The 12,486-nt window shown below is 37.6% G+C and overlaps 1 protein-coding gene across 18 annotated transcripts in view; it reads right to left on the bottom strand.

Moving 5' to 3' along the window:
- The window catches only part of ZMYM4 (zinc finger MYM-type containing 4), a 153,350-nt gene that overhangs the window by 89,087 nt on the left and 51,777 nt on the right, over positions 1-12,486 (bottom strand). For 17 of the 18 annotated variants that reach the window (XR_246305.5, XR_007064889.1, XR_007064890.1 and 14 more), the window contains one exon: positions 7,567-7,612. The exons of the other annotated variant lie outside the window; for it this stretch is intronic. Coding sequence is in view for 3 of the 17 variants with exons in the window: in NM_005095.3 (NP_005086.2) it covers positions 7,567-7,612 (46 nt within the window). In the remaining 14 variants the exon portion in view is untranslated. The remainder of the gene's footprint in view (positions 1-7,566; positions 7,613-12,486) is intronic. 18 annotated transcript variants of the gene reach the window in all.

The following is a 12,486-nucleotide window of genomic DNA, read 5'->3' as shown; positions in this document are numbered from 1 at the left end:
ACTGCCTGGTGGAAGGGATGCCAAATAACTTTTGAAGCTAGGTCAGAAAAGATGATGCACCAGCATGGGCAACATAGCCAAGACCCATTTCTACAAAAAAAATATACAAATCAGGCAAGTGCAGAGGTGCAGGCCTATAGTTCTAGCTACCTGGGAGGTTGAGGCAGGAGGATCACTTGAGCCCAGGAGTTCGAGGTCAGAGTGAATTATGATAGTCACTACACTACAGCCTGGGTGACAGGATGAGAGCCTGTCTGGAGAAAAATAATAATAATAATATAACTTATGCCTTATTCACTGAATTAGTATTTTGCTTGGATCCCTGAGCCACCATAAAAGAAGTGAGAAGACCTTAAGGCTGCCACACTATGAGGAAGGCAAGGTAACAGACTACGTACAGGTGCTCAAGTCAGCAGTCACAGTCTTTGAGTCCTGTTAGGCAAGGCACCAAACATGAGTGAACAAACTTTCAGATTATTCCAACATCAAGCCATTCAGTCAACTTCAGCCTCCAAATCTTCTCAGTCAAGACCAAAGACATTGTGGAGAGAAAAAAAAAAAAAAAAAACATCCCCAGTATACCCTTTCTGAACACCGGAGCCATTGAATCCTTGAGCTTAATAAAAGTGTTTTACACCATTAGTTATGGGGTGATTTGTTAAGTAGCACATACCAGTAATCAGAATGCAAATTCAGAATATAACTTACATAATTTAGAAGGCTCTGGAAAACTACATTAACTGACTTAAAAAGTGACACTAGTGATTAACAATGTCAAATTTCTAGAGTCTGCATAAAATTCACAAAACAACTATAAGAAAACCAGTATTTTCTAAATCAATACTATTTAACATAAGGAGATTTTAAATATGTATATAATTTAATAAATGATTAATAGACATCTATTTCACCCACATGGCTATTAGTAAATGTATTCTAGATAACAAAATTCTATTTTTTTCTCTTATCTTTTCACTGGGAAATGGGTCAGAACCCTGTATTTGGAATCATCTTATATTCAAACATTTACAACATACTTTTACCACCCTCTTATCCTACTGATCAACCTAAACTAAAATTCACATAGAACTTATATCTCCTTTTTAGTGTCAGAGTTTCCTTGATACCACAATTTTATTTATTTATTTATTTATTTATTTATTTATTTATTTATGTATTTTTGAGATGGAGTCTTTTTCTGTTTCTCAGGATGCCAGAGTATGGTGGCACGATCTTGGCTCACTGCAACCTCCACTTCCAGGGTTCAAGTGATTCTCCTGCCTCAGCCTCCCAGATAGCTGGGATTACAGGTGCCCGCCACCACACCCAGTGAATTTTTTGTATTTTTAGTAGCAACAGGGTTTCACCATGTTGGCTAGGATGGTCTCGAACTCCTGACCTCAAGCAATCCACCCACCTCGGCCTCCCAAAGTGCTGGGATTACAGGCGTGAGCCACTGCGCCTGACTGACACCACAATTTTATTGATAACAATGCTGAAATTGCTGTAAGTTACTGGCAAAAACATAAACCTTTTACCAATACAGAGATAAAACAAAAATCAGTTTAGTTCAGTTTATTCATTTGAAAATTGTATACTAATCACTGATCAGTTTGTTTAATTCAAGAAGAACCTATACCTTTATTTAAGGAGAACTAAAAAATTATTGAGAACTGTGAGGTGTTTTTCAATTAACACCATCTCAATTCTCTACCCATGTTTATATCCCTAAAGAAGACTTTTAGGCTTTGATTTCAACATTTTCATAAAGAAAGTATTCCTTTACAATGTTTGAAGGATCCAAATAATACTTAGCAAAAGACCATGTAAACAAAAATTTTTAAGTAGTTTTTTTTAAAAAAGACTCAAATTATCAGTTTTATTTTTTGTTTGTTCCATTTAGAAAAATTTTAATTATATCAGTTCTTTTAAAAATTGAACTGCATTGATAAGGCAGATACATTATAATTCAGACACAAACTGATGCTGATGCTCCACAAGCAGCCACAAAAACTTCAGTCATGGTTAATATACCTAAAACTATTTCTGAATTACTTTATAAATTACTCCACTATTTCATCGAATAATAATTATTCTTCAAAACCTGTGATACAAGTGAACTAGGGTGAGGTACAGAAACAGGTAATGAAAGATTTGGAAGGAGGGTCTTAGTAGCTAGGTAAATCAGCATTCAAATCCTGATTCCATCACTTAAAAGTGAAATGATGTCTCTAAGCCTTAGTTTGCTCCTTAGTGAAATAGAAACAGTTGTAGCACCTTTGAAAAAAGGTTGTTGCAGCAGACACTATGTACACAATAACAATTCTCTCCCTTTTCCTTACTAAGAGAGCCTCAATTTTATTCTTGATAACAATGGGCTCAGGTAAAGGATTACTATTCCCAGCTTTCTTTGAAGGTAGGATGGCCAATGAGATATAAACCTAAGTACACAGGTAGATTTTCCAGGAAAGTTCTTCAAGAAGCTGATTCTGTTCAGAAGTGTGCCTTTTGCTCTCCTTCCTCCCTACTCCAGGCTCAAGATACAGCAGCCATCCTAGAACACCACGCTACCTTGAAAATGGAAGTCACACACTAGGGATAAAATCCAGATAGCTGGAAGAGCTTTCTTGATAACCACAGAGCCATATTATCATCTGGGCTTCTTTTATATGAGAAATAAACTCCTTTTCTTTCCTCATTCCTTCCTTATCCTTCCTCCCTCCCTCCCTCCCTTCTTCCCTTCCTTCCTTTTATATTTTGAGACAGGGTCTTTCTCTGCAGCTCAGGCTGGAGTGCAATGGCACCATCAGCTCACCGTAACCTCAAATTCTTGGACTCAATCAATCCTCCTGACTCAATCTCCCAAGCAGCTGGGACTACAGGCATGCACCACCACATTCAACTATTTTATGTATTTTTTGCAGAGACAGGGTCTTGCTATGTGCCCAGGCTGGTTTTGAACTCCTGGGTTCATGCAATCCTCTTGCTTCAGCCTCCCAAAGTACTGGAATTACAGGTGTGAGCCACCATGCCCAGCCAAGAAATAAAGTTCTATTGTGCTTCTATTATATATAGTTAAACCTAATATTCTAATTAATTATTATTAGAATTTTTAAAGGGTAGGGCGTGGTGACTCATGCTGGTAATCCTAGCAGTTTGGGAGGCAGTGGAAGGAGGACTGCTTGACCCCAGGAGTTTGAAGCCAGTCTCAGCAACATAGCAAGACCCTGCCTCAGTTAAACCAGAAAAAGGGAGAATTTTTAAAAGATAATACATGCAAACTTTTTCACAAGTAAACTAGTACACTGAAAGTAGTCAAAATAATAAGAATAATTTTTAGAATCCAAATAACTGTACTTCATGAACAAATCGGCAATGCTCTTACTTTTCCCCTAAAACTGTCAAGTCTGTTATGTTCAATAAACTTATTCTATCAATAAGAAAAGTAACCATTGCTGAGTGACCAGTTGGCTATCTTAGAGCCATTTAATGAATAAAAATCCTTGACTTAAGGAAGCAACTATCTGAATATATTAAATAAAAGCAATCTCCCTATTTTATTTCAACTTCTTTAAAACTTCACATAAACTAGTAATGGTTGAGGGAACATGAATTAAGATCATCTACAGAATCAGTCATTTCCTCTAACACACCATGTATCTTTAAAAATCCACATCACAAATTGTCCTGACACAGGAGAACAAACTTGAAGAAACGCACCTTCTCTTCTCACCTGCATAAAATGTTGAAGTCTTCTTTTAAATCCCTTTCACTGAAGATATTGTATCTTTGGAAAGTCAATTCAGATTTTTCATGTTTAAACTAGATTTCTCAATGTCTTCACAAACGGGGTTAGCCTCTGCTAATTTATGTGTGCCAATAATTAGTAAATACTATATTTTGCTGACAGTGATAGGATTATACCACAGTAGGGCAGAATTTGATCTACAAAACAAATATTTGAGGTCCCATATCCCGGTGGTCTTGGGCAATGAGTAGATGGTAGGTCTAGCAGGGTAGGTCTGGTAGGTCTAGTGCTACACCAGACATTTTGAGACAGTTCCCTGAGATACAGTTAATCTTTTTTTCTAGACATGAATCCCAAGACAAAATGGGAGGGCTAGGATGATCATCTTTGGTATCGGAGCTTTCCAGAATATCATCTATGTAGCTGTCTGCCCTTATCTCTCCTGGATAGGGGTCTATGTTCCTGAATTCCCCTCACAGAGAGAGGCCAGTATTCCTTCCAAGCTAGTCACTTCTCTGCCTCCAGGGCTTTCAACATCCTTTTAATTTAAACTACCAGAAAAGGGGAGATAAAGGGTAACCTTTATTGCACCATTTGCAACTAACATTTGGTATAAAACTTTCTGGTTGGCTGGGTGTGGTGGCTCACTCCTGTAATCCCAGCACTTTGGGAGGCCAAGGCAGGAGGATTGTTTGAGGCCAGGTGTTTAAGACCTGATTGGAAAACATAATAAGACCTAATCTCTACAAAAAAAAAAAAAAAAAAAAAATTAAAAAATTAGCCAGGCATGGTGATCACATCTATAGTCCCAGCTACTTGGATGCTGAGATGGGAGGATCACTTGACCCCAGGAGTTCAAGGTTGTAGTGAGCTATGATCATGCCACTGCATTCCAGCCTAGGCAACTGCAAGACCCTGTCTCTAAAATAAAAACTAAAATAAAGAATAAAACATTCTGCTTGTAAATCGAGAGCCTAATAATGTTTAAGGAAGGAGAGCAGAGAAACACCACGTACCAGAAACACAAACCCCAAATGTTGGGTGTAGAACTCCAAGTACAGTAGCCCGGCTACAGGTTTAATACAGATTCCTATTGCCTCTTTAAGAATGTTTTTACTGCAACAACTTTAACAATCCATCAGATTAAAACCTTCATTAGAAAGCTATATGATTCATTTCTAATACCAATATACACACTTGAGCAAAGGCATATCATCCAAAATAGGTATTCAAACATTATTTGGCGAAAGTGAGTAGTGACAGAGGCATGCCTTCCAAGAGGTATGTTTTACTATCTGGCCTGGTTTCCCTGACCACAGATAATTGGTTCAAAGATGAACATGAGATTCAAGCTGGCCCAATCATAATCTTTCTCCAAACAACTTGAAATTTAGAATGGATATACAGAAAGATTAAAAATCGTGGGAATATAACTGCTTTCTGGCAGCACTTGTAGAGAACAGACATGATCTCCTTTTGCTGAGTACCCTGCAGGAAATTCATTTTATCTTATATTTTATGAAATATCCTAGTATATATCTAAAATGATTCTTCTGGATAAGCTAGCTAAATTCTATTTTTGATTGCCTAAAACAAAAAAGACACACAATAACTAAATCCACTGAAGATCAGGAGATATAGTTACCTCTCAATATCAAATAACATAGTCAGACGGTAGTCTAAAAATATTATCATTCTAAAATATTAAACTAATTACAAAGAGAAAGAAAGTACAGATCCTACTGGTAGAAGTAAATTTTTTTTAAAAAAGTACATTCCCTTAATTCAAGAACTCTAGTTGACAAAATTTGTCTTTCATAAAAAAGCACAAAAATATCCTTTGATAATTAATCAATTCTATTCTTGGAATTTATTCTACAGAATGCTTCAACAAGTATACAAAGATGTGTATGGGAATACATATTCAATGTTCTTAATAATAATGCAAAATTGAAAATAAATTACACATGTATAAAAGAAGCTAGTTAAATTATAGTACAGCAGGTCCTCTAATAACATTTCATTCAATGTTATTTTGCTGTAGCACTGAAGAGAGAAACAAAGCCCGGGCGCTGTGGCTCACGCCTGTAATCCCAGGACTTTGGGAGGCCAAGGCAGGTGGATCACTTGAGGTCAGGAGTTCGAGAACAGCCTGGCCAACATGGTAAAACCCCATCTCTACCAAAAATATAAAAAATTAGCTAGGAGTGGTGACGTGTGCCTGTAGTCCCAGTGACTCAGGAGGCTGACACAGGAGAATCACTTGAACCTGTGAGGCAGAGGTTGCAGTGAGCCTAGATCACGCCACTTCACTCAAGCCTGGGTGACAAAGCAAGGCTCCATCTCAAAAAAAGAGAGAAAAAAAATGACTCCAAGCCAGGGCTATTATTTATGTGGAGTTTGTATATTCTTTCCATGTCTGCATGAGTTTGCTCCAGATGTTCTAGATTCCTCCCACATCCCAAAGATGTGCACATTAGGTTAATTAGCGTGTCTAAATTGTCCCAGTCTGAGTGAGCATGGGTGTGTGTGTGTGAAGCACACTGTGATGGGATGGCATCCTGTCCAGGACTGGTTCCTGCCTTGTGCCCTGAGGCTGCCAGGATAGGCTTCGGCCACCCATGACCCTGAATTGGAATAAGGGGATTGGAAAATGAATGAATGAATATAAATTATTGTAATAAAATTCATAAAATATATAATCAGCACAGAAAAGTACATAAATGATGCACTCAGTGAGCCCATCATGTTTATTATTGTTTGTTTCTGAACTGCATGGTGGTAGGAGGTGCTCTTGACAATGTTTGCTTTGCAAACATTTATTCCTTAAGTTAACCAACCACCACTACAAGCACCATCACTCGCTGATTCACCAAAAACTGGGTAAATAATTATCTTACTTGTTTTTATTAATCTTTCTTGTATGCATGTATAGCTCACATTTATTTCAATGTTTAATATTAGAAGTGTTTCAGATCTTTATTTAGAAGTTTGATGGTGTTTTTGTGACTAAAAATATGCCACAGGAACTTAACTCTTACTTCTATCAATTTAAACTTATGGTAAAATTGGTTTCATTATATGTCATTTCACCTAAAGTCACAATTTCCAAGAACATATCAACAACATTTAGTGAGGACTTATTATACAGCCATACAATAAAATACTGAGTAGCCATTAAAAAGGGTGCAACAGGTCTATATCCATTGACACAGAAAGATGTCTACGCAGTTGAATGAAAAAAAGCAAGAACAGTATCTATGATTCCTACACACATATATAAATCTCCATACACCATGTATAGCTATATACACTCATAGAAAAAAGTCTGGAAAGATATATATGTTAAACTTTTAAAACTGGTTATCTTTGGAGAATGGTAATGACAAAGACTTTTACTTTCTATTTTATTCATTTCTGTATTGTAAAATTGAATGTATTACTTTTATAATCATAAAAAACAAATTATTTCTAAAAATACGATAACACAAAAAGAATTTTAAAAGAAAATAAAAGACCTTAACCCAAGTAGAAACCCTTAATAGTGGTAAGTATAATCTTCCATATAGACACGAAGTATGGCTATATTTTAATATGATAACTATGAGAATAAAATATTTATTGAAAAAAAGAATAAGATTCTTACAATTCAGATTAACCTGCTGAAAGAACAGTACGTGATGAGATCTAGACTAAATCAGATTGAACCATCACATAAATCAGCCCTAACTAAACACTGTAATAGTTAAATACCACATCTAGATTAACATTCATTTTCTATCTAAAGACATGATTGTTTTTTCTCAAATGGTACTTACAGTTCTCTACAATTTCATCAAAAACTGCACCACTTTTTTGTTCAAACTGGAAAAGCAAAAAAGGAAAAAGTAACATTACCATCATATCTTCTATCATACATTCTTTTGGTATCCCTCCCTATTCCCCAAGGAGCTGTAATTTTCAACCCAAATGACAAGTGCACAATATAAACAAAAACATTGCCAAATAGAGTAAAATAAAATTTAGGATGAACCAAAGTAGTTCTCAGACCAAAGCCCCAAACCAAAAACTAAGAGATAAATCACATCCTCTCACTATAAACAACTACTTATTTTTTTAATCATTCATGTCACAAAAGAGATGATCATATATATTTTAATAACAGTAAACACAGCTAACGCTTCATAAGAACTTACTAACACCGAGAACTATGTAAAACTTCCCATCAAAACTGAACAGAAAAATTAACAGCTTTTGCTCTTAAGCTAAAGCCAAAAACATGCTGCTCTTAAATTGAAAGTGAGGCCTGTTATAGGGATGGTTCCTACTGAGTACGTTAGTGCCTAAGACAGAAGTAGAGCCATGTCAGAGGTAATTTCAGATCTTTAAACACAGAGGGAAAAGAAAGCAAAGCACCGGTAACTCCACCAAAGAACTAAAGAAAATGGCACACTTCACTCTGAGTCTCTGAAGGCCTCCTTACTTTGGAGGTTCCTGCTTCCCTGCCTGTTACTCATCAGTGAGGCAAGAACACAAGAAATGCTGCTTCTTGATAAACCTTGCCTACTGTAAGAAGCCAGAATCAGCCACCCCATTCAAGGGAGAGACTTTTAAGGAAAAAAGAACTACCTAGCTACCTACATAACTGTAGAGGAAACACAACAGCTAGCTATAGTAATCAGTAGTATCTGATATTCATAAATATGAAGAGAAAATAAAAGATCCCAGGTTTCCAAAAGAAACCTATGTGAAAGAGAAAGTTCAAGGTAAACAAACAGAACCACCACTCCAGAAGGAAACAAGTAACTTATAAAAAAGCAACTTCTTGGCTGGGCCCAGTGGCTCACACCTGTAATCCCAGCACTTTGGGAGGCTGAGGTGGGCGGATCACAAGGTCAGGAGATCAAGACCATCCTGGCCAACATGGTGAAACCTCATCTCTAGACAAAAAGTTGGAAAAGATAATTTATGTGACATGGAGGATTGAAGCACTAAGTCTAACAGCAATATCAAAGGTACCCCCAAAGAAGAAAATAATGGTGAAAGGGATAACAGAAAAAAATTTCCCTGAACTGAAGATATAAATACCATATCTGAGATTGAATGGGCCCACTAAATACCAAAGAAATAACAAAAAAAAAGGATACATCCTGGTAAAATATATCAGAATTCCAAAAGAAAACAAAAGGAGCAATTTTTTAAATGATAGTGCAGGTAATTTATAAACACATTTAACTTGAAATTCAACTATGTAAACATTGGAAAGTAAAGGAAAGCAAACTAATAGTGAAGGTCACTCCACCTACCATTCCAGTCAATGAGCTAGGCTCTAGAATGAAAGGGAAATGGGAAATGAAAAATGTCACTCTGGGCCAGGTGTGGTGACTCACGCCTGTAATCCCAGCACTTTGGGAGGCCGAGACGGGTGGATCATGAGGTCAGGAAATCGAGACCATCCTGGCTAATTATGGTGAAACCCCGTCTCTACTAAAAATACAAAAAAATTAGCCGGACATGGTGGTGGGCGCCTGTAGTCCCCGCTACTCAGGAGGCTGAGGCAGGAGAATGAGGAGAATGGCATGAACCTGGGAGACAGAGCTTGCAGTGAGCTGAGATCGTGCCACTGCACTCCAGCCTGGGCGACAGAGCGAGACTCTGTCTCAAAAAAAAAACACCAAAAAAACAAAAAACAAAAAACGAAGAAAAATGTCACTCTGTAAGCCAAAGAATGAAAGCATCTGCCTACACTGAGAAGAATCCCATTGTTTAATAACAGTTTGTTTTTGAACAATACTGTCCCAAGGCCCGATGCTATTATTCCTTCTCATCTTATACAATATTTCTCATGACTCTCTATCCCCCTAGAGCTACTGCTCATTTTTCTCTTCCCCTTGACAGCAGAACTCTTCAAAGGAGTTGTCCAGCCGGGTGCAGTGGCTCACGCCTGTAATCCCAGCACTCTGGGAGGCCAAGGTGGGCAGATCACCTGAAGTCAGGAGTTCAAGACCAGCCTGGCCAACATGGCAAAAACCCATCCCTACTGAAAATACAAAAATTAGCTGGGCGTGGTGGCGGGCACCTGTAATCCCAGCTACTTGGGAGGCTGCGAGGCAGGAGAATCACTTGAACTCAGGAGGTGGAGGTTGCAGTGAGCCGAGATTGTGCCACTGCACTCCAGCCTAGGGGACAAAGCATGATTCCGTCTCAAAAACAAAAACAAAAACAAAACAAAAAAGCCAGGCGTGGTGACTCACGCCTGTAATCCTAGCACTTTGGGAGGCCGAGGCAGGTGGATCACAAGGTCAGGAGTTCAAGACCAGCCTGGCCAACATGGTGAAACCCCATCTCTATTAAAGATACAAAAAAATTAGCCGGGCATGGTGGCACACACCTGTAATCCCAGCTACTTGGGAGGCTGAGGCAGGAGAATCGCTTGAACCTGGGAAGCGGAGGTTACAGTGAGCCGAGATCACGCCATTGCACTCCAGCCTGGGCAACAGGGCAAGACTACATCTAAAAACCAAAACCAAAACAAAAAAAAAGTTGTCTATACATGCTGCCTACGACACCTGTCTCTTGAACCCACTTCAGTAAGGCTTCTGCCTGCACTATTTCTACTGAAACTTTTCTCGTCAAGGTCATAAGCGACCTCCACACTGCTAAACCCAATGATCTATTCTCACTCCTAAAGGAAAAAAGAGAACTAGAAGATGACAACCATTTAAGGTGAAAAAATTTGGATCACAATCACTACTTCACATCAACATTAATCCCAGATAAGTTAAAAATAAACTGAAAAAAAAATAAAAGCCCTAGAAGATAGAAAAGTCTTTTAACCAGAAAAAGAGATCTTCATGAAAAAGATTTTAAAGTTTGACTATATTTCTAAAAAATTGTTTGGAAAAGCTTAAAGGTAATATGAATGAAAAAGTTGTAGTAGTAGTATAATAATGGTTAATATTCTATGTATAAAGCAATCTTGGACTCAATTAAAGAGTACTATCCCAATAGAAAGTGATCAAAGAACATAAACAAGCACTAAACATTCAATCTTACCCAAAATCAAAATTGAGATACCATTTTCTCTCAGACTGGTAAAGATACAAAATGAAGAGAGACATAGAAATGTCCCTGTTTTTAAAAAACCCAATAGTATATCTTGGAAAATTATACAGAGATCTACTTCATTCTTTCCAGTGGCTGCACAGTCTCTTATTATATTATACTGATGAACATTTTAAGGTTGCCTCCTGCTTTTTTTTTTTTAAATGCAATATTGCAGTTGTCATCTGTATACATATGATATGGCTTAGGTATGTGAGTATATCTGTAGGATCAATTTCTAGAAGTGGGATCACTAGGTTAAAAAAGATCACTAGGTTAAAAAAATTAAATATTTAATTTTTTAAAATTTAATTCCTTCCAACTAAGCTTCATGAGTTACTGGGATTATAGGAACACACCACCATGCCCAGTTTATGACACTTTTTTTCCAAGTACTTTATATGATTTAATCCAATTTAATCTCCCAAAAATCTCATAAGGTAGGTACTGTTAACACCTCTATTTTATAGGTGAAGAAATGGAGGTACTGAGAGGTTAAGGGGAAGGACACACACACACACACACACACAGCTCTGAAAGTCTCCCAAGAAAAATGTCCAAACTTCTGTGGATATATAAGACTCTCCAAAATCTAGCCCTAATTTCCTCTACAGCTTTATCTTTTCCTGCCTTCACATTCCCATTACATCCCCATCCTGTAAGCAAATGCTCCAGCCATGATAAATAACCTATAGCTGCTCACCCAACCTTTCAGGTAGTTTCAAGCATCTGGGTCACTGTGCACAGTGCTTAAGCTTTTCCAGTCTTAATTCAATAGTAAACATATACTCAGCTTCAAGCTAAAGCTGCTACTCCTCTATGGTACCATAATCTCACACACAACCCACACACACCCAACTTCCCGAACAAAGTAGAATTCACAGCTCTTTCCTAGTGATACTACGACCAATGTGACTGTGTAACAACTATAATAACTTTACTCCCAAGTTGGGAATGCTATAAAGAATCAAGTACCCATACAGGTTTCTGAAGCTGTATGAGGTCATATCCCATTCTTTTTGTAGACCAACCTGCTGACAGATAACAGGGGTTATACAAACCTTGAGTTTTAATCCAACTTTGGAGACTAAACACAAAATCAATAAAAAGGAGCGCTTTATATAAAGACCTTTAGAATAATGTTAAAAATTAAAAACAAAAAACAATCTAGTTAGTTTCTTTCAATAGAACCTAAATGAAATCAAGATTCTATAAAGGATTAGAAATCCTACACTTCTCAAAGCCAGGGCAGGCAAAAGTGCACCCTGAAGAAAAAAACAAACAAAAGATTATTTTTCTGCTATAACAGTCTCGCAACACAGAACATTTCAGTGACCAGATATGTGGGACTTTTTCATCACACACCAAATATCTAGCAGACACCAACTGTGTGTCCTATAATTCACTTCAATTCTGACACTATCTACCTAGAATTAAGAGTAAGATCCCACAGGTTGAAGGCTCAGTCCAACAAGGCTGCCTCCCACTTCAGATACCAATCACAAGCCCCAGGCTGTGACTTGACCTTGTAACTGGCCAGCTATATAACTTGGGGTGTGCGCAACCCCCACCTCAGGTTCAATTAATTTGCTAAAGCAGCTCATGGATCTCAGGGGAACACATTTACTGGTTTA

This window comes from Homo sapiens, chromosome 1 (genome assembly GCF_000001405.40).
Source record: "Homo sapiens chromosome 1, GRCh38.p14 Primary Assembly".
Taxonomy (NCBI): Eukaryota; Metazoa; Chordata; class Mammalia; order Primates; family Hominidae; genus Homo; species Homo sapiens.
The sequence above is the reverse complement of the archived record's forward strand: the minus strand, read 5'-3'. Positions and strand labels throughout refer to the sequence as shown.